The sequence below is a fragment of the Homo sapiens genome, chromosome 10, assembly GCF_000001405.40.
Source record: "Homo sapiens chromosome 10, GRCh38.p14 Primary Assembly".
Taxonomy (NCBI): Eukaryota; Metazoa; Chordata; class Mammalia; order Primates; family Hominidae; genus Homo; species Homo sapiens.
The window spans coordinates 18,800,711-18,826,306 of record NC_000010.11 but is presented as its reverse complement, the minus strand read 5'-3'; the positions used below and the strand labels follow the sequence as shown (position 1 = coordinate 18,826,306).

At 36.3% G+C, this 25,596-nt stretch overlaps 1 long non-coding RNA gene across 3 annotated transcripts in view, besides 1 other annotated feature; it reads right to left on the bottom strand.

Moving 5' to 3' along the window:
* LOC105376440 (uncharacterized) overlaps window positions 1–25,596 on the bottom strand; it is a 126,250-nt gene that overhangs the window by 10,237 nt on the left and 90,417 nt on the right. The gene's annotated exons all lie outside the window — the stretch shown is intronic.
* Window positions 3,851–4,051: a silencer, noted in NCBI's record as "peak892 fragment used in MPRA reporter construct". NCBI's record gives its function as "represses an SCP1 promoter by STARR-seq MPRAs in K562 erythroleukemia cells {active_cell/tissue: K562}" and the evidence as "EXISTENCE:reporter gene assay evidence [ECO:0000049][PMID:32103011]".

Here is a 25,596-nt window from a genome sequence, read left to right as displayed (position 1 = left end):
TATCTGAAAATATTCAATATTAATAGCAGTTAACCTTAGGAAGTAAGAGATAACTTCCTTTAAACTATGCATAGAGTACATGGCAAAAAATTATAGCCAATCCACTTTATTACATTGTAATATGTACTTAAGAAGTCTATACTGTCAACAAAATAATTTGATACATAATATGTAACTAACCTTATATACTGACATTTTTAATTAGTACAGAAAAAAAGCAATACTGACATGCATCCACAGAAATGGAATTTTGAGTTTTCATTTACATTCTCAGTTTTACAGAAATATATCTGTGACAGTAGTCTTCAGATGTAGAAACTCCAAACTATGGAATCAAAATGAAGCCAAGCTTAAAATTATCATTCTCCTCATCAGTTCTATAATATTCAAGATCAAAATTAATCTTGCAGAAGGTAAAAAGATACCGTATATTTATTTTTTAAATGGTTATTTTGCTTTTGCAGTTTGCATACATTCATAGGGAAACTTTAATAACACTCTAGTTTTATGTAGAGTGTTATTTTCTTTTAACCAATATTTTAATGCATTTCAAGGAGACTGGCTATTTATGCTGTAATAACAATCTGAAAATGGCTAGAACAAATCCTCCAAATCTTTATAGTAAATACAATCTCAATCCAATTTCTAATACATATTTATTTTTTGACTGGGGAATAGCATACTGATTTTAAAGTTCATAAGGGAAAGTAAGTACTCAAGGCAAACCTATACATTTTTGAAACAAAAAAAGCAAGTAATCTCAAAACTTACAATAAAGACTTAGTAATTAAAATGGCTTGCTGTTAATTCAGAAATAAGCATAAAAATGAACACACGCTTATACTTTCATATTCATTGAGAATGTGATATATAAATTCTTATCAATAAAGAAATAGAGAGCCATTCAGTAAATGCTATCAGACAACTGGCTATTTGAGAAAAAATAAGCTGTACTCATTAAAACTAAACATAGTGAATACAAAACAAATATTCCAACAAATACAGTAATAATTTATAAGATTTAGGTGAAGAACTTTGTAAGCAAGATGAGAACCATAAACACTAAGGTCACCAAAATTAAAATTCAGTTTAACACAAATACCATAAGCAAAGATTAAAATCTACAAAAACACTGAAGCTATATGTGCTCTATGAAGCAAATAATATCTATATTACATCAAAAGTTCCTATAAAGTTATAAAAAAAAGACAAGTATCTCAACAGAAAAAATGGACAAATAATATAAATTGGCAATTTAGCTAGGAAGAAATATAAAACTTTATATGTGAATGAACTTTAAGCCAGCCAGTCTGCTTCTGGGAGACCATTCCACAGAAATATTAGAAATTAGTACCAGCACAAACACGAAGTTTCCATTGACATCCTACTTGTCATAGAAAGAAATCTTTATTTGTCCTTTAAAATGAAAATATTCTGGATATTAACCCTTTGTCAGATGGATAGGTTGCAAAAATTTTCTCTCATTCTATAGGTTGACTGTTCACTCTGATGATAGTTTCTTTTGCTGCGCAGAAGCTCTTTAGTTTAATTAGATCCCATTTGTTAATTTTGGCTCTTAGAACTTAAACAAATTTACAAGAAAAATACAACCCTGTCGAAAAGTGGGCAAAGGATATGAACAGACACTTCTCAAAAGAAGACATTTATGCAGCCAACAAACATATGAAAAAAAGCTCATCATAACTGGTCATTAGAGAAATGCAAATCAAAACCACAAAGAGATACCAACTCATGCCAGTTAGAATGGTGATCATTAAAAAGTCAGAAAAAAACAGATGCTGGACAGGATGTGGAGAACTAGGAATGCTTTTACTCTGTGGGTGGAAGTGTAAATAAGTTCAACCATTGTAGAAGACAGTATGACAATTCCTCAAGGATCTAGAACTAGAAACACCATTTGACCCAGCAATCGCATTACTAGGTATACACCCAAAGGATTATAAATCATTTTACTATAAAGACACATGCACAAGTATGTTTACTGCGGCACTATTCACAATAGCAAAGACTTGGAACCAACTGAAATGTCCATCAATGATAGACAGGATAAAGAAAACGCGGCACATATACACCACGGAATACTATGCAGTCATGAAAAAGAATGAGTTCATGTCCTTTGCAGGGACATCGCTGAAGCTGGAAACCATTATTCTGAGCAAACTAACACAAAAAACAGAAAACAAAACACTGCATGTTCTCACTCATAAGTGGGAGTTGAACAATGAAAACACATGGACACAGGGAGGGGAACATCACACACGGGGGCCGGTTGGGGGTCGGGGGTAGGCAAGGGATAGCATTAGGAGAAATAACTAATGTAGATGATGGGTTGATGGGTGCAGCAAACCACCATGGCATATGTATACCTATGTAACAAACCTGCACATTGTGCACATGTACCCCAGAACTTAAAGTATAACTTTAAAAAAAGGAAAACATTTAACCAAACTAAACAACAACAGACTATCACGAAATCATTTAGGGAATGAGGAAAATCATATACTACACCCAAGAGGGGAGGATTTAATTGGCCAACCCAAGGCCACATAATCAAAAGCAAGTTGCTGAAGAATACCATGATATAATCTCGTTAGAAATAACGAAATGGCAGAAAACCAAATACCATATGTTCTCACTTAATGGCAGCTAAATGATGAGAACGTAGGAACACAAAGATGGAAACAGACATTAGGGTCTACTTAAGGGTAGGGTGTGGGAGGAGGGAGAAGAGCAGAAAAGATCACTGCTGGGTACTGGGCTTAATTTCTGGGTTATTAAAAATAACCTCTACAAAAACCACTGCAATGAAACTGTACTGCTGCTGAGTTCTTTTAAAGATACAAAAACTAGACAATGCCCATACTGTTTAAAATATTCCAGGAATAGACAAAATGTGAAGCACCCTAATTCTTATTATGCAGCTAAAACAATCTTGAAAATAAGATTAGCAGGCGATAAGCAAACAGACAAAAAATGTCAGATTAATCTGACATGTAATACAATCAAACAGACTAAATAAATACCATACAAATCAAATCAGAAATGTATTAAAAGTATAATATATAATGAACAAATAGAGCTTGTTACTAGTTTTATATTAATATATCTACCAATACATGTATTAATAAGTAAAATAGAAAGCACAGGATTACCTTGATAGATGCTGAAAAGTCATTTGATACAAATCAGATTTTTTAAATCTCAATAGAACAAAATAGAAAATACTTTTGTGGTATACCAGCAGATATACAACATTGGTTGTCTACATTGGTTGTCTACACTGGCTGTCTACACATTAGCCATTCTTTCATCCTTCCTTCCTTCCTCCAGAACCACCCCTCCTTCCTCTGGCCTTTCATGATTCATTCCTTAATTAGCAAAAGTCTTCATTGTTCCTTTCTAGGGAAATAAAGTGTTTCCCATTCTCCCCTTTTATGAATGTGTAGACAATAGTAATGGATTAGCGTTTGTAATCCATTAATGTGTATGTGAAAAAGAAGATTAAGATCTATTTTCTCTACAAACGTGAACTATGGGGAACCAGATTGATACTTGAGGGAGAAAAATTACACATCATCCAAAGACACTGGGCATGGAGTTAGATGCAATAACTGAATAAGATCTTGGAGTCCGTTCCTGTGAGAAAGATGTTAACAAGTTAACAAGGTGTGCAATGAAGCAGGTGGCCATTTAGCTGAGTCCTGTGGGAAACCCTCTAAGGAACTGTGGAGAAAAAGCCTCCAAATGTCCCTGTAGAGGGATTCTGGGTCATGTTTCCATCAACGCACATCCTCTGTTGATGAAGGATTGCCCCAGTGTATGACCTCTCTTTGAACTTCAAGGTTGCACCTGCTTGCAGCTGAATGGCTTGTCCAGGTTTCAAGAAAGCAGAACAGTGTATGCCTACAGAGTACTTGGTGCAGAAAGCAGACAAGGGGAGGGAACTGTCCACGACTTTAGTGCTGAAATCAAGTGGACAAAAGAGTTGTGACAATTTGCACCCCAAGTGTCTGCCATACAATCCAAATAAAGGTTTTTGAGAAAGGTAAATGCAAACCAGTTAATGAATTTATCTAATTAATAAAATAATATATCTGAAGTTTATCAGAGTTACTCAGGGAAACTGGGAAACAAGCAATCAAAAAAAAAAATTATACATAGCCATTAGACCAAGCTGCCCATTTGGATGTGATTAAAGATGAAGTGTCACTTCCCTAAATCAGTCCTCTCAAACACCATTGTAGCAGAATTCTCAGTGACCACAAGTCATTACATCCCCCTATTTTCAAAGCCCCTGTTAGAAAAAAATAATATAAAAGAAGATCAAGTTGCCTTAAGAATAACTAAACGAATGTTGAATCACTTCCTCAGATAATCAAATCAAGGCATTTTTACAATCAACTTGGAAAGGAAGAAAGGTTTGAATTGCACAAGTGAAATGCCTATTCCCAGTCAGTTGGCAAAGACTACTATCTCTGCAGCCTTAAGTTACTCTCCCTGGGTTTTATTTTCTTGGCTGCAAACTGGAGCCAAGAAATAATCTCCAAGATTATTTCACCTCTTATACTCACTGAGCTTATGGGCCAAACCTCCAAGCTTAAGAGCATCAGAGAATGGGCATTATTAAGAAAGATAAAAGTAAAGCTTGGGGTTGAGGTGGTAGGGATGGAGTTAGTTATCAGTTAGTTTCAGTTAGTATCAGTTTCTGCTGCATTAAAAAAAAACGCCCCAAAACTTAGCAGCTTTAAGCAACAACCATGTATTATTTTTTATGATTTTGTGGGCTGGCTGGATGGTTCTTCTGATTTGGGCCAGCTTACCTGAGACTAAAAGATCTACAGCAGACGTCAGCAAACCTTGCCTGTACGAGACCTTATGGACCATAGGGTCTCCCTTGCAGCCACTCAACTCTGCTGCTTTAGTGCAAAAGCAGCCATGGACAATACGTACATAAATACACATGGCTGTGTTTCAATGAAACTTTATTTGCACAAGCAGCTGATGGGCTGTATTCAACTCACGGGACATAGTTTGCTGATCTTTGGTCTAGGGTGGTCTAACATACATATCTAGCTGGTTAGCTCAAGAGAAGCCAAGATGCTTCAGTTCTCTTCTACATTGCTTCCAATTTTCCAACAGGATAGCCTATGTTCATTCATATGATGTATCTGAGGTTCCACATTCAGCAAAAAGCAAGCCCCACTGCATGGCATTTTAAAAGCTTATCCCTGTGACATATTTTCCTCATTGTCCAAAGTAATTTGCATGCCATGTTCTGAGCCAAAGAATCAACAAACAGCCTCCACCCTTTTATGGAAGGAAAATGGAAAGTCACAATATAAAGTAATGCACATACAGGGGTGAAATAAATCTGTAGCCATTTTTATAATATGCCACAGGGAACCCTGTAAAAATACAAAAGCAGTGAATCCAATTTTTGAATTATTTAGATCTATCTAACCTATTAAAAGAAACCCTGAACTTATTAAAAATATAAGGCTTTGAAATGACATGAAATATACACTATTTCTCCTCAATTTTTTTTTTTTTTTTTGAAATGGAGTCTTGCTCTGTCACCCAGGCTGGAGGCAGTGGCGCAATCTCAGCTCACTGCAACCTCCGCCTCCTGAGTTCAAGCAATTCTCCTGTCTCAGCCTCCCAAGTAGCTGAGATTACAGGCACGTGCCACCATGCCCAGCTAATTTTTGTATTTTTAGTAGAGACAGGGTTTTGCCACATTGGCCAGGCTGGTCTCAAATTCCTGACCTCAGGTGATCCACCCACCTCAGCTTCCCAAAGTGCTGGGATAACAGGCATGAGCCACTGCGACCAGCCAAAATAATTTTAATGTTGTAATTATTTCAAGCTTTTTCACATGGAAAGAAATATTATCACCTAAAGAATTTCCGAGTTCCTCTGACAATATAAGCTGTAATTTATAAGGTTTGTAGAGATTAGACTATTACAGAGTGGATTAATAAAATTGTTCTAAATTGGGTATGTGTTTGGCTGCCTTCATATAAAAAGAGATGTCTATAGCCTACAGCAGTAAGCAAACAGTACATTTATCACTTGAGATTAAACATACACACTTAACTCCATCATTTTCCCTGAGTTTGATATCTGTCCTCTAGACAACAGAAGTCTGCAAAGGTAGAAGGAGCAATCACTACAGAAATTTACTGAAGTGTTATTTTATAACAGGAAGCAACTGAGACCACTGTCTAAGAAAATGGAGAAGCACCCTCAGAAAGCCAAAGGTGGAATTCCCTTTTAACATTCTGTCAAAAATATAGACATAAAAGTGAGACTATTTAGTTATTTGATAGGATTTTCAAAATTCTTTTTTTATGTTTTTTTAAATTATACTTTAAGTTTTAGGGTACATGTGCACAATGTGCAGGTTTGTTACATATGTATACATGTGCCATGTTGGTGTGCTGCACTCATTGACTTCATTTAACATTAGGTATATCTCCTAATGCTATCCCTCCCCCCTCCCCCCACCCCACAACACGCCCTGGTGTATGACGTTCCCCTTCCTGTGTCCATGTGTTCTCATTGTTCAGTTCCCACCTATGAGTGAGAACATGCAGTGTTTGGTTTTTTGTCCTTGTGATAGTTTGCTGAGAATGATGGTTTCCAGTTTCATCCATGTCCCTACGAAGGACACGAACTCATCATTTTTGATGGCTGCATAGTATTCCATGGTGTATATGTGCCACATTTTCTTAATCCAGTCTATCGTTGTTGGACATTTGGGTTGGTTCCAAGTCTTTGCTATTGTGAATACTCCCATAATAAACATACATGTGCATGTGTCTTTATAGCAGCATGTTTTATAATCCTTTGGGTATATACCCAGTAATGGGATGGCTGGGTCAAATGGTATTTCTAGTTCTATATCCCTGAGGAATCGTCACACTGACTTCCACAATGGTTGAACTGGTTTACAGTCCCACCAACAGTGTAAAAGTGTTCCTATTTCTCCACATCCTCTCCAGCACCTGTTGTTTCCCGACTTTTTAATGATTGCCATTCTAACTGGTGTGAGGTGGTATCTCATTGTGGTTTTGTTTGCATTTCTCTGATGGCCAGTGATGATGAGCATTTTTTCATGTGTCTTTTGGCTGCATAAATGTCTTCTTTTGAGAAATGTCTGTTCATATCCTTTGCCCACTTTTTGGTGGGGTTGTTTGTTTTTATCTTGTAAATTTGTTTGAGTTCATTGTAGATTCTGGATATTAGCCCTTTGTCAGATATGCAGATTGCAAAAATTTTCTCCCATTCTGTAGGTTGCCTGTTCACTCTGATGGTAGTTTCTTTTGCTGTGCAGAAGCTCTTTAGTTTAATTAGATCCCATTTGTCAATTTTGGCTTTTGTTGCCATTGCTTTTGCTGTTTTAGACATGAAGTCCTTGCCCATGCCTATGTCCTGAATGGTATTGCCTAGGTTTTCTTCTAGGTTTTTTATGGTTTTAGGTCTAACATTTACGTCTTTAATCCATCTTGAATTAATTTTTGTATAAGGTGTAAGGAAGGGATCCAGTTTCAGCTTTCTACATATGGCTAGCCAGTTTTCCCAGCACCATTTATTAAATAGGGAATCCTTTCCCCATTGCTTGTTTTTCTCAGGTTTGTCAAAGATCACATAGTTGTAGATATGCGGCATTATTTCTGAGGGCTCTGTTCTGTTCCATTGATCTATATCTCTGTTTTGGTACCAGTACCATGCTGTTTTGGTTACTGTAGCCTTGTAGGATAGTTTGAAGTCAGGTAGCATGATGCCTCCAGCTTTGTTCTTTTGGCTTAGGATTGACTTGGCAATGTGGGCTCTTTTTTGGTTCCATATGAACTTTAAAGTAGTTTTTTCCATTTCTGTGAAGAAAGTCATTGGTAGCTTGATGGGGATGGCATTGAATCTATAAATTACCTTGGGCAGTATGGCCATTTGGATTTTCAAAATTCTATGTGGAATATTATGGCTTCTCTGGCTGAATCTGGTACTGATACTCATTTATAGTTTTAAATAGTTTTATTTGTATGAATATGGATTTTTAATTTGTCAACAATAAAGAAGCATAAAGATATACAAAATGTAGAGAACTTTGAAACAAAATTGAAGGCGTCCCCTACATGAGAGAGATGGCTTCTGTATGTGGTACAATTTTTTTGTGTGTTCTCAAGATTAACCTCTAAGTGACAAAACTGCCCTCTCCTTAACTTCTAATCTTCAGGAGAGGGAATAATAAATCTTCAAAATAATCCTTTCAGAGAAGAAGCAACCAACATTGTTAAGTATAAAAAGAATAACGTAAATCGTTTCCGATTAGCTGTTGCAGGGAGGTCCGGGAAGAGACTGATCTTACTGCTTAGAATAGTAGATCTTAAACTGTGGTCCCAGACCAGCATCACCTGGGAACCGGTTAGATATGCAAATTATCCAACCCATACACTATTCCATAAATCATAAATTCTAGAAATGAAGTCAAACAATCTGTGCTTTAACAAACTGCTTAGTTGAAGATGACGTATACTAAAGTTTGAGAACCACTATTATAAAATGACAGAATAGGATTGTTACATTAAGAGAGACACTAGAAGCCAATTATGACTGATAATTTTAAACTACCTGTTCTCAGCAATCTTCATAGCTCATTTGCTTTTTGTTAAATTAGATATTCAGTCAGGAATTTTTACTGACTACTAAAAATAGGCTTGATTGGCAAATCATCATGTTGTGAATGCCTACTTTTCATTTCCTTTTCAAGTTAGGTGGCATCAGTATAGCCACAGATGAAATAGTTACATGAACAAAGTTAGGACATGGAAGTGAGATAAAATTCTATCTCCTTTTAAAGTTTTCAAAAAGTATGTACTTCCTGTGACTCCACAGAGTTAATTTGGATAAGAAGAGTAACAAAAATTTGCAATGTTGTCCTTAGAGAAATCACACAATATGAGTCTAGTGTGCATGAACACAGACACAATTTACCTAAAGAATTACAAGTGGTATCTTTCTCATCTTAAAAAAAAAAAGCTAAAAGTAAACAAACACTTAAAATATTCATGAAAAAGACCTAGAAAGGAAGTTAACAAACTAGATGAAATTCAATTTAGCAGAATTTGAGCCAAAATAGTAGATGGAGCATAAACTAGACATAATATGGAGTACGGAAGAGCTCTGGTCAGCCAGGTGTGGTGGTGTGCACCTGTGGTCCCAGCTTCTTGAGAGGCTAAGGCAAGAGGACTGCTTGAGCCTGAGAGTTCGAGGCTGCAGTGAGCCATGTTCACACGACTGGACTCCAGCCTGGGCAACAAAGTGAGACCCTGTCTCAAAAAAAGACAGACAGAGAGAGAGACAGAAAGAGAGAGAAAGAGAGAGAGAGAGAGAGAGTACACTCCGGAAGTTCATTTGGGTTTGGAGATTTTTGGTTTGGGTTTTTTTTTTAACTTATCTGGAGGGGTTCCATGAGTTTACAATTTCATATACTTTTGCTTTTTTCTACCTTCATGGAGAAGTTGCAAATAGCCAGGATGTTACAGCTTTAGACTACATGCTTTTCTCAACCAGTCCCCCATCTCCAGCCACTTTCTACATCTTGTTCTTACTGTTGAACATGCATATCTCACAGGGCATAGGACTTTCCAACAGAGAGTTACACAATTGTAATCACATTCCAAAAACTTTTCTACTTAATGAAGCATGTGAGTGACATTTGCAAGTGCATTTAACAGCCTATGAGAAATCTTAAGCTCAAATATGGTAGAGGTCACACAAATTCATAATGGAAAAGATTATCCTAAAGGGAAAAAACTGGCTTTTCTATGCGTGTTTTACACATTTGGTTGTCTGACAACTGAAGCTAATCAAGATAGTTCAAGATGTGCTATGCCTGAGAATGTGGTTTTCTGGAATAAAGGTGAAAAGAGAGGACATTTACTTACTACAAATCTAAAATAAAGCACTACTAACCAGCACTAGTCTCGGATACTCAGAACTGAAATTTCTCTTTCCATAGTAAATTTTAAACTTGGATGGTATTTTATGTAGAATTATTGGAGAAAATGACCCAATTATATGTGTTTCTTTCATACTGCATGAAGATTCGTTTCTACATCTTTAAAAAGAAAGCTATAAAAATTTACAATAAGGATAAAGACTATTTTCTGATGCATTATACTTATGACTAGTTTATTAAAAATAATTATTTGGTTTTTTAGAAGCTTTGTACATGAATTACGATAATCTGTGAACTCTAAAGACAATAAAAGTATTATTTCCACAAAAGCAACATGAGATTGAGACTCAAAACCAATTGACTGAAAGCACATACATCTGGAGGTGGCCTATGTAAAACTTAAGAATCACAGGCTTCATTCTTAACTCAAACTATAGGCATGACTAACCATTTATAGGTCTCATTGAACTTATTGAAATAAAAGTTTTCACAACTGATCAGCCCTACTGTCTTTCTCAAATTTGTATTCACAACTAAAATCAAAGTTGCATGTCATTTTTGGTGGGAACAAAAGAGAATTATGAGTTTGAAAGAAATACAAAGAATCAAATTAGGCAGAATGCAATGAAACAGTGCATAGAGGGAAATTTATATCATTTAATGCATATTATAGAAAGAAAGACCTCAAATCAATAATTTAAGCTTCCATCTTAGGAAACTATAAGAAAAGAGCAAATTAAATCCAAAGTAAGCAGAAAGAAATAATAAAAATTAGAGCAGAAATCAATAACAATAAAACAGGTAGGAAATCAACAGAGAAAATCGGTAAAACTTTGGCCAGGCTAACCAAGAATAAAAAGAGAAGACACAAATAACTAATATCAGGAAAGAAAAAGGGGTCAACATGATTAATCCTATGGACACTAAATGGATAATAAAAAAATAGTATGAGCAACTCTATAATCACATTTTTACATTGCGATGAACCTATTCCTTGGAAAACACATTCTACCAAAACTCACATGAGAAGAAACAATCTGAATATGCCTGTATCTATCATAGAAATTGAATCCATCATTAATAACCTTCCAAAATAGAAAATTCCAGGCAAAGATGGGTTCACTTATGAATTCTACCAAACATTTAAGGATGACACAATATGAATTCTCTATAATCTCTTCCAGCAAACAATTAGAAGGAATACTTCACATCTCATTCTATGAAACCAACATTAATATAAAAACAAAGACATTACTAAATAGGAAAACTATAGGCCAATCCATAGCATGAACATAAATACAAAAGTCTCAACAAAATATTAGCAAACCAAATCCTGTAATTTATTTTTAAAAAGCAATTATACACCATGACCAAGTGAGATTTATTCCAAGGATACAATGTTGGACCAACATTCAAAAATCAGTTAATGTAAACAATCACATAAACAGGCTAAAGAAAAAAATTATAGGATCATGTCAATATATTCAGAAAAGCATCTGTGAAAGTCCAACACCCATTTGTGATTTCAAAAAAAAACTCTCCACAAACTACGAACAGAGGGAAGCTTCCTCAACTTGATAACGGCCATCTACAAAAGAACCCATAGTTAGCATCATACTTAACATTGAGAAAATAAATACTTTTCCACCATAATTGTGAATAAAGCAAGTATTTCTGCTCTCATCACTCTTATTCAACATCCCACTGGAAGTGCTAGATTGTGCAATAAGACAAGAAAAGGAAATTAAAATTATATAGATTATGAAGGAAGAAATCAAACCGTCTTTGTTTACAGATGACATCATTGACATCATTTCTATGTAGAAAACCCCAAAGAAGCAACAATAAACTCCTGGAACTAGTAAGCGATTCTAATAAGAATTCAGGATATAAAGTTAATATATTAAAGTCAATTGCTTCCCTATGTACCAGCAATGGTCAATTGTAATATGAAATTAAAACACAGTGCCACTTGTATTAGCAAAGAAATGAAATAGTCATAAGTATCACAAAATATGTACAAGATTTATGTGAGGAAAAACACAACTCTCTTGAAAGAAAACATAGAAGTCCTAATTAAGTGGAAAGACATTGCATGTACATGAAAAGGAAGACTCAATATTGTTAAGATGTCAGTCTTCCCAACTTGTTGTATAGATTCAATGTAATCCCAATTAAAACCCCAGAAAGTTATTTTTCGGAAGCCAACAGATTCTACAGTTTCGGTGAAAAGACAAAAAGTCCAGAATACCTAATACAATGTAAAAGAAAAGAACAAAGTTGGAAAAGTGACACTACATGACTTGAAGACTTACTATGAAGGTACAGTACTGAAGACAGTAGGAAGACAGTATGGTATCAGTAAAAGAACAAATAGAGAATTCGATCAAAGTAGCCCAGAAATCAACCCCCACACATATCGTCAACTGATCTTTGTCAAAGGACTAAAGGCAATTCAAACACTTAAAATATTCATGAAAAAGACACAGAAAGGAAGTTAACAAACTAGATGAAATTCAATTTAGCAGAATTTGATCCAAAATAGTAGACTATCTTTCGTTGAAAGACAGTCTTTTCAACAAATGGTACTGCAACAAGTGGATATCTACATGCAAAATCATAAATATAGACACAGACCTTAAAACTTTCATAAAAATTAACTCAAAATTGTTGCAGGAAGTCAGGGACCCCAAATGGAGGGACCTGCTGGAGCCGCGGCAGAGCAACACAAATTGTGAAGATTTCATGGACATTTATCAGTTCCCAAATAATACTTTTATAATTTCTTATGCCTGTCTTTACTTTAATCTCTTAATCCTGTTATCTTTGTAAGCTGAGGATGTATGTCACCTCAGGACCACTGAGATAATTGTGTTAACTGTACAAATGGATTGTAAAACATGTGTGTTTGAACAATATGAAATCAGTGCACGTTGAAAAAGAACAGAATAACAGCGATTTTTAGGGAACAAGGGAAGACAACCATAAGGTCTGACTGCCTGTGGGGTCAGGCAAAAGAGCCATATTTTTCTTGCAGAGAGCCCATAAATGGATGTGCAAGTAGGAGACATGTCACTAAATTCTTTTCCTAGCAAGGAATATTAATATTAATACCCTGGGAAAGGAATGCATTCCTGGGGGGAGGTCTATAAACGGCCGCTCTGGGAGTGTCTGTCTTATACGGTAGAGATAAGGACTGAGATACACCCTGGTCTCCTGCAGTACCCTCAGGCTTACTAGGGTGGGGAAAAACTCCACCCTGGTAAATCTGTGGTCAGATGACTTTTCTACTCTCGAATCCTGTTTTCTGTTATTCAAGATGTTTATCAAGACAATACTTGCACCGCTGAACATAGACCCTTATCAGTAGTTCTGCTTTTGCCCTTTGCTTTGTGATCTTTGTTGGACCCTTATTAGTAGTTCTGCTTTTGCCCTTTGCCTTGTGATCTTTGTTGGACCCTTATCAGTAGTTCTGCTTTGCCCTTTGTCCTGTTCCCTCAGAAGCATGTAATCTTTGTTCTGCTTTTTGCCCTTTGAAGCATGTGATCTTTGTACCTACTCTCTGTTCTTACACCCCCTCCCCTTTTGAAACCCTTAATAAAAAACTTGCTGGTTTGAGGCTCAAGTGGACATCATGGTCCTACCAATATATGATGTCACCCCTGGCAGCCCAGCTGTAAAATTCCTCTCTTTGTACTGTCTCTCTTTATTTCTCAGCCAGCCGACACTCATGGAAAATAGAAAGAACCTATGTTGAAATATTGGGGGCAGGTTATCCCAAAACAAAATGAATCACAGACCTAAAGGTAAAACATTAAAAACTCCTAAGAGATACCATAGGATAAAATCTAAGTGACTTGGGTATGGTGATGACTTCTTAAATTCAACACCAAAAGCATGATCCATGAGAAAAAAAAATGTGCATGTTGCACTTTATGAAAACGAAAATTTTCACTCTACAAAAGACACTTCCAAGATGGTGAAAAGATAAACCACAGAGGGGAAAGAAATATTACAAAATATATATCTGATAAAGGATTGGTATACAAAATATACAAGGAACTCCAAAAATAAACTCAACAAATAAACTCCAAAATAAACTCTAAAACTCCAATAAATAAACTCCAAAAATAAAACTCAACAATTTAAAAAAAACCCAGTTAATAAACATAGAAAAGATCTGAACAGACCTGACCAAGGAAGTTATAAAAATGGCAAATAAGCACAGGAAAAGATGCTCAACATCATCTGTCATTAGAAAACTGAAAATAAATTTGTAGTACTTCTACACATCTATTAAAATTACTAAAATCCAACACACTGACAATGCCAAGTGTTGGTGAGGACACAGAGTAACGTGGATTCTCATTCTTTGCTGATGGGCAGAATCTGGAAATTCTTACAAAGTTAAACATAGTTTTACCATACAATTTAGAAACTGTCCTCCTAGGTATTTACTTAAATAGATTAAAAATGTTTGTACACACAAAAAAATTGTACAGGAATGTTATAGCAATGTTATTCATAATTGTCAAAACTTGAAAGCAATGAAGATATTCTTCCACTTTTTCCCTATGTGAATTGGCTGTTTGTGTTCTGGTTCATTTTGTTTTTATATTAGGTTGCTGGTCTTTTGCTTGCCAGCAAAAGGAGTTTTCATATATCATATGTGTTATATATGCTGTATATGCTGTTCATATTCTTCTTTTGATACATAGGCTGTCTGTGATATATGTTGCACATATTGTCCTCCCAAGACTACCAGTTGTTTTCAACTTTATGATACCTTCTTTTGCTAAATGTTTTCAGGTTTTAATGTGCCCAAATTTTTCCATCTTCTTCAAATTTTGGCTCTCTTTTCCTCTTTTATTGTCTTTTACTTTCTTTTTATTTGGCTTTTGCATTAGTAGGGTAACTGTACAATTACAGTACCAACTTGGACATTTTGGTGAATAAAAGGTGGTGCTACAATTATTATAATTGTGTAGTTATTAAAACCATCTGATGAATTGTTTCATTATGATGGTAAACCTATGAAATAGCTCCTTTCAAAACCTATTTTCAAAAAAAGATTTATAAAAATACAATTAGCATATATTCATGAAAAATAGTATAAAAATATTTATAGTATCTAAACGCTTAAAAATCAGAATAATTATTCTTAGAATATATTCATGTAGTCTAATTCATTTCTTTGATAACATGTCACAAGTATTTTTCTTAAGAATATAATTTTTTTCTTATTTTTTTTCTTATTTTTGCTTTTTTTTAAATTATACTTTAAGTTCTAGGGTACATGTGCACAACATGCATGTTCGTTACATAGGTATACATGTGCCATGTTGGTTTGCTGCACCCATCAACTTGTCATTTGCATTAGGTATTTCTCCTAATGCTATCCCTCCCCCAGCCCCCCACCCCCCACCAACAGGCCCCATTGTGTGATGTTCCCCGCCTTGTGTCCATGAGAGGGAGAGGGGGAGGGAGGAGGAGGGGAGGGGAGGGAAAAGAGAAAGGAAGGGAGGAATGGAGGAATGGAGGAATGGAGGAAGGGAGGGAGGGAGCGACAGTGAGGGAGGATGGGAGCGGAGAGGAAGGATGGGAAGGAGGAAGTCTTTGGAGATGACTGAAAAGTTTACAGCATTGATTGTGGTGATGGTTTCACAGGTGTACACTTATCTCCAATCTCATCATGGTGTATACATTAAATATGTACAGCTTTTTACATGCCCATCATACTCAGTGAAGTGATTTTGTTTTTAAAGGGTGACAGGAAGTTTCAGTCTCCATTTAATCCAATATCTTTAACCAGATGTTTTTTTTTTTTTTTTGAGACAGGGTCTCACTCTGTTGCCCAGACTGGAATGCAGTGGTGTGATTTCAGCTCACTGCAACCTCCGCCTCCCTCTAACTGGAATTTTCTAATATCCACTCTTTTTTTATTTAACCCCTAATGCATTACATAAAAAACAATTGCCATAATATCCTATAATAACTTGTTGCATCATAATAGCTCACTTCCTAATAAAATCAAAAGTTTTGCTTCAACTCATGATGGAAATTAAAATCACCAAATAATTACTGTTCAATAATGCAGGTATAAAACATGTACCTGGGATACCACACTATTCCTGCTTACAAGCATAGTTCGTGTGTCTTATAAAGCTAAAAGGTAAATTTCTCTGACTTGTGAAGGGTCTATATTAAGGTGATTTCTAACAACAAGAATGTACTCCCTGTAAAAATAAAATTGATTGCTTCAAGTCTTCATGATGAGTCAATTTAATTAAATAAAATCCCTCCTGAGTGAAATACTTAATATTCCACCTCAAAATGTATCTAATTACCCGTGTTATTGTTTTTGCTTTCTGAATAATACCCATTAAAAGATAAGAGTTCAAGAACATTATAAAATTAGAAATCCATAAAGAAAACTTTATTTGGGTTCAGCTTGGAGAGTAAATGCCACCTACCCACAGGAGTTATTCGAATGCATGTACTTGCTATTTACTTTAAACTATAATGGCATTTTCTAGGCAATGTTAGAGCAGGAGACAGTTAGTCATTTTCCTTGAGAAAAACGCAGTTTTACTCTGATGGTTTTCAAGCCCAGTATTTCTTCAAAGGATGAACATTCTGCTTTCAAACACAATTTGTGATTGTTCCCAAAAGAAAGAACAGTGTGAAACAGGAAAAGATTATTATTTCTATTCTGACCATTATTCTCTCCATTTGTCCCACTAAATATATAAGAAATGAAAGAATTTTAAGCAGCAGTCATTAAACAAGCATAGAGAGTGAAGGAACTATGCTGAAAAATAATATCCAGAGGGGAAATTTTTTTCCTTAGAATAAAGGTCCCATTAAAGTGCTGTCTAACTTTCAGAGTTTAATAATTGAAGAGCATCGTTTCCATTATCTTACCAACTATCAAATGTATTGTCCATACTATACACCCAATGAATACCAAAAACCCCAGCATCTCCTAGGATAAGTAGACCAAAACCTTAGGGGATGACCATTGTCCATTTTTCTCTGAAACTATCTCCAAAATAGAAAATGAATAAGTATTAGGCCATTCTTTCTTTAATTATTTGGGACTGTAGAATTATTTTCAAAGTCCCAGAATGGTCTTCATCTAAGTTATTATGGAACCCATAATCTGTCCCATCAAATACAAGGGAGAGAATTCACCAAAACCAAAATGAATGAACAATCACACAACCAGCCCCTTCCAAGCAAGATTTTTCTTTTTTCCTTTTTCTTTTTTTTCTCTTTTTTTCATTTTTTGAGACAGAGTCCGGCTTTGTCACCCAGGCTGAAGTACAGTGGTACGATCGTGGCACTGCAGCCTCTACTTCCTGGGCTCAAGAGATCCTCCCACATCAAGTAGCTGGGACTACAGGAGTGCGCTACCAGGTTCAGCTAATCTTTTTATTATTTTGTAGAAATGGGAGCTCTCTTTGCTGCCCATCCTGATCTTGACCTCCTGGGCTCAAGCAATCTTCCCACCTCGGCTTCCCAAAGTGCTAGGATTACAGGCATGAGCCAACATGTCCAGCCGTTTTGTCTTACTCTTTAGTGTATCCCTACTGCCTCGCACAGAGTTAAGTTGCATTATTAATAAATGATGTCTGTTTTTAGAAAGAATTTTTAACTGAATTGACCCAAATATATAGGAAAACAGGGAATTCTCTTTCCAATTTCCATCTTTGTCACCCACACACACAACACTCCAAGGAAGGGTAGTTAGGAATAATTATTTTAGTTCGTTCATTCTCTCTTCCTTTAACACAGCAGCTATATTTCCATGTTTCTCACACGCAGCTTTCTACATTTCTCTTAATTATGCTTCCAGGAGTCGAGGGGAAAGAGATTTGGGTGGAGGAGGATGTCTGTTTGACTTGCACTATAAATTGCCTCTGACAATAACATTTATACTTGCCAGAAATTCAGTTGGGCAATATGACTGCTGCGGCAATGTAAATTTATGCAAACCTATATAATTGCTGATGATGGGGGAAAGATAATTGAGCTTAATATTTGATGAGAAAGACAGAAAAAAGTATGATCCCTTCGAGTCCGCCATATGCTGAGTTCCCAATTATCAGGATTTGAAGCTTGAGTGACACACTAAAATGAAAAAAAAATAATAACAGTGATGAGTATCATCAAGAATTATAAGCAAACCAGGGGAAGAGACTGAAAGCCGCTAATGACAGGTGAAGAATTACTCCAGGAAACTCAGCCTGGGTCAGAACCAGAATACTCAGTGTGTGTCTAAATCACAAACTTCAGGTATTTTAGATAAGACTGAGGCTGTAGGACAAGGACAGTGAAGGGATGGGGTAATACTAGGGGCAACCTGCATGCTAGGACAAGAGCAGGTAGTTTTGAGCCAGTGGAGCACAGAAGGTTTCTCATTTCCATTTCAATCCACCGCTGGCCAGCATTCCCAGTTCTGTCTGTGCAACAGAACCCAGTGTCAACAACTGGTTGCTGTACTCATGTGTGATAAAATCAGCATGGCAGTTCCAAGGGGCTTCATTCCAGAAATGCTAGACCATCCCTGGCCTCATTATACAGGGATGGATTCCTCCTTGTGGCCAATTCAGTCAGGGGAGAGGCTTTAGTATTATCAAAATCTCACCTCCCCGGGAAAAATACCATTTTATGCACACATCCATTCAGTTGAGCCTCGCTAAACCTTTTCGATTTTGAAATGAAGATTTTGCTCTTACTCAATGGTATAGCATTATAAGCAGGAGCTTTGTGCTGTGAATGGGAGCTTAGAAATAAATAAAATTTAAATATCATTATATGGTTGTGACTGTAGAGATAGTTTTTCTGAGCCAGGACATTCTAGCCTTCTCATATTTATTCAGCACCAATTTGAATATGTCCATATTTGCTTTCATACAGTGCAAATTTCTGCTAAAAGACAGTAAGATACTTTTCTTTTCTTTTCTTTTCTTTTTGTTATCCTTTCAGTCTTCAGTTAGGGCCCTTATTGAACTAATTTACCTGATTATTTACTTCTTTTGCAGTGATATAAAAGTTAATAATGACACTGTCATAATTCAAACAAAATGTTAAAACATACATTGATAGATGTAGATGACAGGCAGATGGCTAGATAGATAGATGGATGATTTTATCCATCTTTGTTTGTATAGATATAAAAGTACATTTAGTGGCTGAGTACAGTGGCTCACACCTGTAATCCCAGTGCTTTGGGTGGTTGAGTCAGGCAGATTGTTTGAGCCCAGGAGTTTGAGACCAGCTTGGGAAGCATGGGAAAATCCTGTTTCTACAAAAAATACAAAAATTAACCAGGCATGGCAGTGTGCACCTGTGGTCCCAGCTACTCAGGTGACTGAGGTTGGAGGATCACTTGAGCCTGGGAGCTCAAGGCTGCTGTGAGGCATGATGGTGCCACTGTACTCCAGTCTGAGCAAGACCCCATCTCAAAAATAAAAAAAATAAATAAATAAAGTACATTTTATCTCCACCTGATCCCAATTGACTCTAACCTTATATTCAAGACAGATTCCATGAAACAAACAATATGTATCTGTGATAAAAAACAATCTTCCCTTTTGATTTTGCTCTCCCTAGACTACGTGGCCAGAGTTGCCTCAAATTTGAGGGAACCTCTCAACATAATTGGCTGACAAGGTAGTATATCAACTTCATAATCGCTATCCACTCTTTCACCTTGAACACCACTGCAATTCTTCCTATTACTGGCTCCAAGTTCCACCCTCTCATGTATGTTTCCTCCTGCAACCATGGCCTCCTAAGAAATCCTAAAATAACATAGCTAAAATAGATCTGAGTCTGCAGGCTGAATCTGAAGAAATGCTAAAGATACCTTGATTTTCCAGTTTTGTGGAAGCAAGAAAAATGGTCTCAAGCCTAGATCAGTGATGAAAACTTTGAAAAGTTTAACTATTATTCTCTTTACTTGCTAGATTAGATTCCTATGGCTGCTACAATTACCATAAACTTAAAGCATCAGAAATATATTCTGTCGCATTTCTGACACCAGTCACTGAATTCATATATATCTTTACAACAATCGAAATAAAACTGGTTAAAGGCCAGAATCCCTCCCCCACCCTCTGCAACTAGTTCTAACTATCTATACTGGAAATTACCAAAAGGTTTGCCACGGATTGCTTTGACCCCAAAATGTTAACAGATAATAATGAGAAAAAAATATGCCTCATGATAAAATCAGTTTGGAAAATCCAGGGTTAAATACCAATTTTATTCCAAGCCTACTGAGAGCCTTCAGTGGACTGATGTATGCCGAGGCTCCCCTGGGGAAGTTTGGTGTCTGTAGCACTTTCCAGTTGTCTATATCCCTTTTAGGGGGGATTAACTTCAGGAAGCAATGAGAGTGTATAGATAGTAGTTTGCAAGAAACTTCGATAGACCGCACAAACATTACAAAGTTAACATGGGAAGGTCGTATCTATAAAGGAATGCAAGACATTAGAGAGCTGTAGGCATATTCTCCTGGGAGGTGCAGAGAAGGAGAATGGAGTCTAGAGAAAGTCTGAAATTATCTCCTGACATCAGCTTTCCACTTCGTTCAGTTTGATGCTCAGTATATCTACTCAATTTTGTTTAAGCCACTACCTATTTTAACTTGGCATAGGCGGTGTTGACTCTCTGTAAACAACAAAAGTAATGAAATTCTAATCACTACCATATTAGAAAAAATATGTCCTACAGTATATCAATATATAGGACTAGATAAATGCCTGAAAGAAAGTATTTTCTGAGTGATCTTTAGGGCAGCATGGCTGGTTTTTACTTTATGGTACAAGAAAGGAGTAAAATGTTCAGCAGTCTTCAGTTCCTCCAAATACAATTCATCTTAGGGCACACCCACCTGAGTGGAGCTAGTCCGATTTAAAAAAACTATAGGAAAACCAATGAGTGACCTTTCTGTTATGCTTCCAGTGGCATGATTTTGACTGTAAGATTATGTTGCTAATCAGTACAGACAATAACAAAAATAAGTATGGGGCATTACAAACATAACAAAAATATTTTCCATACTAGTTTCTTAGATCACCTGGAATTAAAAAAAAAAAAAAAAAAACAATTGGCTCTTTCAAAGAGACATTAATCCCTGAAGCACTCAGGACAATGGTCTTTGTAAGAAAGCATCATTACAGCTCTTGTGCCTCCAGGGTGGATCTGAACAGTGAAAATCACAGTAGAAGCACTCAGATGCATGGGGAAAAGGAAACAAGGAAAATGTGAGGATATTTTTATTCTATCCACTCATTTCAAAAGAAAATAACCTGATAGCAAGGAGAAGACAGGGAGCATCACTGATTAACAGACAGGGCCAGCTGCATAATTTGCAAGGCTCAGAGCAAAATGAAAATGCCTACATTTCAAACAAGGGCCCCTTGTTTGCAGCACTGACAAAAAGCTTTCTCCCTTCTTCCCAAGTTTTGTCTCTTGACCTGCCACAGTGGGTTTTCGAGTTTTTGTTTTGTTTTGTTTTGTTTTTTTGCTTGCTATTTAATGTTGTATAAGTCCAACTTTAACCTCTGACACATATCCAGATCCTACTTGGAGTGGGGGTATAGGTCACAGGTGGTGTTGGGAGGGGCAGGGGAGCAGGTGCCTGAGAATCCATCCTAGGAGGTGTGGAGGAGGCAGGAGCTGCAATCCCACATGGACTGAGGCTCCGAGCCCCTAGCCCATACTCAGTTGTCCCAGTTGTCAGATTTCACTTGCATAGCACAAATGGAAATATTAAATTGTTCCGAATTTCAGGACAACAATTGCATGTAGAGCATTTGGTATGATTTGGCTGCATACTCACCAAAATCTCAACTCAAATTGTAATCCAAATTCCAATCCCCACATGTTGAGGGATGGACCTGGTGGGAGGTGATTGGATCATGGTGGTGGTTTCCCCCATGCTGTTCTCATTATAGCAAGTGAGTTCTCATGAGCTCTGGTTGTTTGATAAGTGTCTGGTGCTTCCTGCCCCCATCTCCTGCTGCCAGGTAAGAAGTGCCTTGCTTCCCATTCGCCTTCCACCATGATTGTAAGTTTCCTGAGGCCTCTCAGCCATACAAAACTGTGAGTCAGTTAAACCTCTTTTGCTTATAAATTACTCAGTCTCAGGTAGTATCTTTATAGCAGTGTTAAAATAGACTCATATAGCATTAAGCTCTAAGTGCTGTGAGCTGCACTGGTTGCATGTCCATGAAGCCCGTCTTGATAACTGATGAGGGTCAGAGCCCAGGGCATATTAACTGATTAAATTATAATAAATTAGAGCTAAAGGCACCGGTGGAAATGGCTCCTCTGGCACCCCAAAATCCTCCTTTCCATATTTTACCTTATTCTGCTAAGCTGCTGGGACAAGACAAATGAGATTTAATCAAATCTGCAGTGAAAGTGAGACTTTCTGGGAAGTGATTTGAATTGGTTCATGTTTATTATTCCTGACATATTTAATTAGCAGCTTTGCTGTTACTGGATATTAAAATATTTAGGAAGTAAATCTACTTTTCTTTCTCAGTTTCTCCCTATTACCCAAGCCAAATTTACTTTTTCACTCACTGTACTGCCATGGAGATCCACAAATTTTAATCTAATTTCCATTAAATTTAATTCCCCACTACTTGCAAGTTCATTGTTAAAAACAAAAAAAAGAAGAAGAAGGCGGCCAGGTGTGGTGGCTCATGCATGTAATCTCTGTAATTTGGGAGGCTGAGGTGGGAGGATCACTCGAGCCCAGGAGTTTGAGACCAGCCTGGGCAATATAGTGAGACCCTACCTCTATTTCAAAAAAAATTATTTAAAAAAAAGAAGATGTAGTAAAATTATGTATATGTTCTATGATAAGGTAATTAGAATAATTTTGCCTGGTTATCTCATAATATCTGCTGAGGTTATCTAACAAGATTTTTCTATATTGCTGAATTCGTTTCTTCCATTTGGTAAAAATTCACCATACAGTGATTGAGACCCATCAATTTCACAAAGAGGGCAGTTAATTATTTTTCTAATTGAAAGTTTTCTTTGCCAAACTCAGAGAATCTGGAGCACGTTAAATAAGTCATCAAAAAAATTAAGTCCTCAAAGCTAGAGAAGACTGTTGGTAACAAAGAGTTGCTAATGAGAACAGCAAAGTTTTATTACAACTTCCTGCAATACTTTCAAAATTATGAAATAATTTATAATGTTCTGACAAGAGAATAATATAGCATCCAATGCAGTCTTATTAACTGGAAAGCATCTAATTTTTGAACAGATGTACTATCCCTATTCAACCACCTCCAGGGACTAATTCAGAACCACAGGGTTTAATTTGAAAGAAAAGGAGAGCACTTTTTTCTTAATAATATCACAGTTTCAGCTTGCTCTGCTGCAATTTTGGGAAAAGGACAAAGAAAAATTGTGCTATTTGTGTCCCAGCAGCAAAAACACCTGAGGGAATGAAGACTCCGTAGGGCTTTTGTCTGTTATTATTTTCAACCCAACTGTAAAGAACCAGAAAGATCAACATAGGGTCTAAAGTGGATAAAAGCAGAGTGAAACTGAGTTTCTAATGGGGTGAACATTCAGCAAAAGACAGGATTCATTATCTTTGCAGGGCCAGCTGATAACACAGGATTTCTGCAAAGAAAAAGTAGAAATTGCACTCTTTAGAATGAGCTCTTCAGAGGAGCCTTAAATTGTTTCCTGCTAATTTCAAGCAGAACAATCAGAGTAAACAGACTGTTGACTTACCTTTGGTAAGATGAGCACACCTATAAGGACAAATAAAGGTGAACCTCAGCTGTTAGTAGCTGTGCCTCAGAGAAAACATATGCTTATTAAACAGCTATGTCTCCTTAATCAACAGCATGAAGGAAATATTCGGTAGCGCTGATTATAAAACACAGCTGTAAAGCTTAATTATTCTTGCAGGGCTTCACATCCCCTAATTCTGACACAGAATCATTTATTAACTGCACTTTACCCTGTGGAATATATTATTCCATTGACTATACAAGTGTTACAGACTTCTTCATGAAGGCATATAAGATAACATTCCCTTGGGTCCATGTACATAAATAATTAATATATTCTATTAAGAAAATTATTTCTTTTTATCCTATGATCATTAAAGATCATGTAACACCATCATGAGTCGTCATGAAAATGCAAATCAAAATCACAATGGGATACCACTTCACATCTACTAGGATAGCTAGAACCAAAAACTCAGCTAAGTGTTGAAAAATATTTGGAGAAACTGGACCCTAATACACCACTGGTGGGAATATAAAATGGTGCAAGCTCCTTTGGAAATCAGTGTGGCACTTCCTCAAATGATTAAACATAGAGTTACCATAGGATCCAGCAAGTCCACTCTCGGAGATGTACCCAAGAGAAATGAAGACATGCCATACACAAGTGTTTATGGCAGAATTATTCCTATTAGCCAAAATCTGGAAACAAACTATATGTCTACGTGTTAATGTATGGATAAACAAAATATATATGAATTAATAATATAAAATATTTTATATGAAGGAATAATATAAAATATTATTCATCCATAAAAAAGAATGAAGTTCTGGTAACATGCTGCAACATGGATAAACTTTGAAAACATCATGTTAAGTGAAGGAAGCCAGTCACAATAAAGAATACATGCTTAATATGTCCATTTCATATAAAATCCTAGAATAAGGAAATCTATAGAGACCGAAAATAGATAAGTGGTTGCTTATTGCTGAGGGGTAGAGGATACTCAAGGATAAAAAGGAAAAGCCAGGTTGTGCAGGGTTTATTTTTGGGGTGATGAAAGCTCTAAAATTGACTACAGTGATTAGTGTATGTATTTATGAATATACTAAAAACCACTGAATGATACACTTTAAATGTGTGAACTATATGGTATGCAAATTCTATCTTAATGAAGCTGTTATTTCATTTTTAAAAAAAGAGAAGAAAATCACAAAGCATATTTTAGCTCCTACTTTGAAGGAGTCAGAATCAAGGTTCTGCACAACTTTGGAAAAATGTATAAACTTTATAGATTTTTTTTTTCCTCTTCTATTTCTATTTTAGGTTCAAGGGGCACATATAGAGGTTTGTTACATAGGAAAATTGCATGTCACTGAGGCTTGTGTGTAAATGATCCTGTCACCGAGGTAGTCAGCATGTTACCTGACTGGCAGCCTTCCAACACATGCCTCTCTTATACCCTCCCTCCTCAACAGCCCCCAGTGTCTATTGCTCCCATCTTTGTGTTCATACGTGTTCAATGTTTAACACTCCACTTATAAGTGAGAACATGTAGCATTTGGTTTTCTGTTCCTGATTTAGTTCACTGAGGATAATGGCTTCCAGCTGCACTCATGTTGCTGCAAAGGACATGATTTCATTCTTTTGTATGGCTGCATAGTACTCCATGGTGTATATGTACCATATTATCTATATCCAGTCCACCATTGATGGGCATCTTGGTTGATTCCACATCTTTGCTACTGTGAATAGTGCTGCAATGAACATATATGTGCATTTGTCTTTTTGGTGGAACAATTTATTTTCCTTTAGGTATATACCCAGTGATGAGA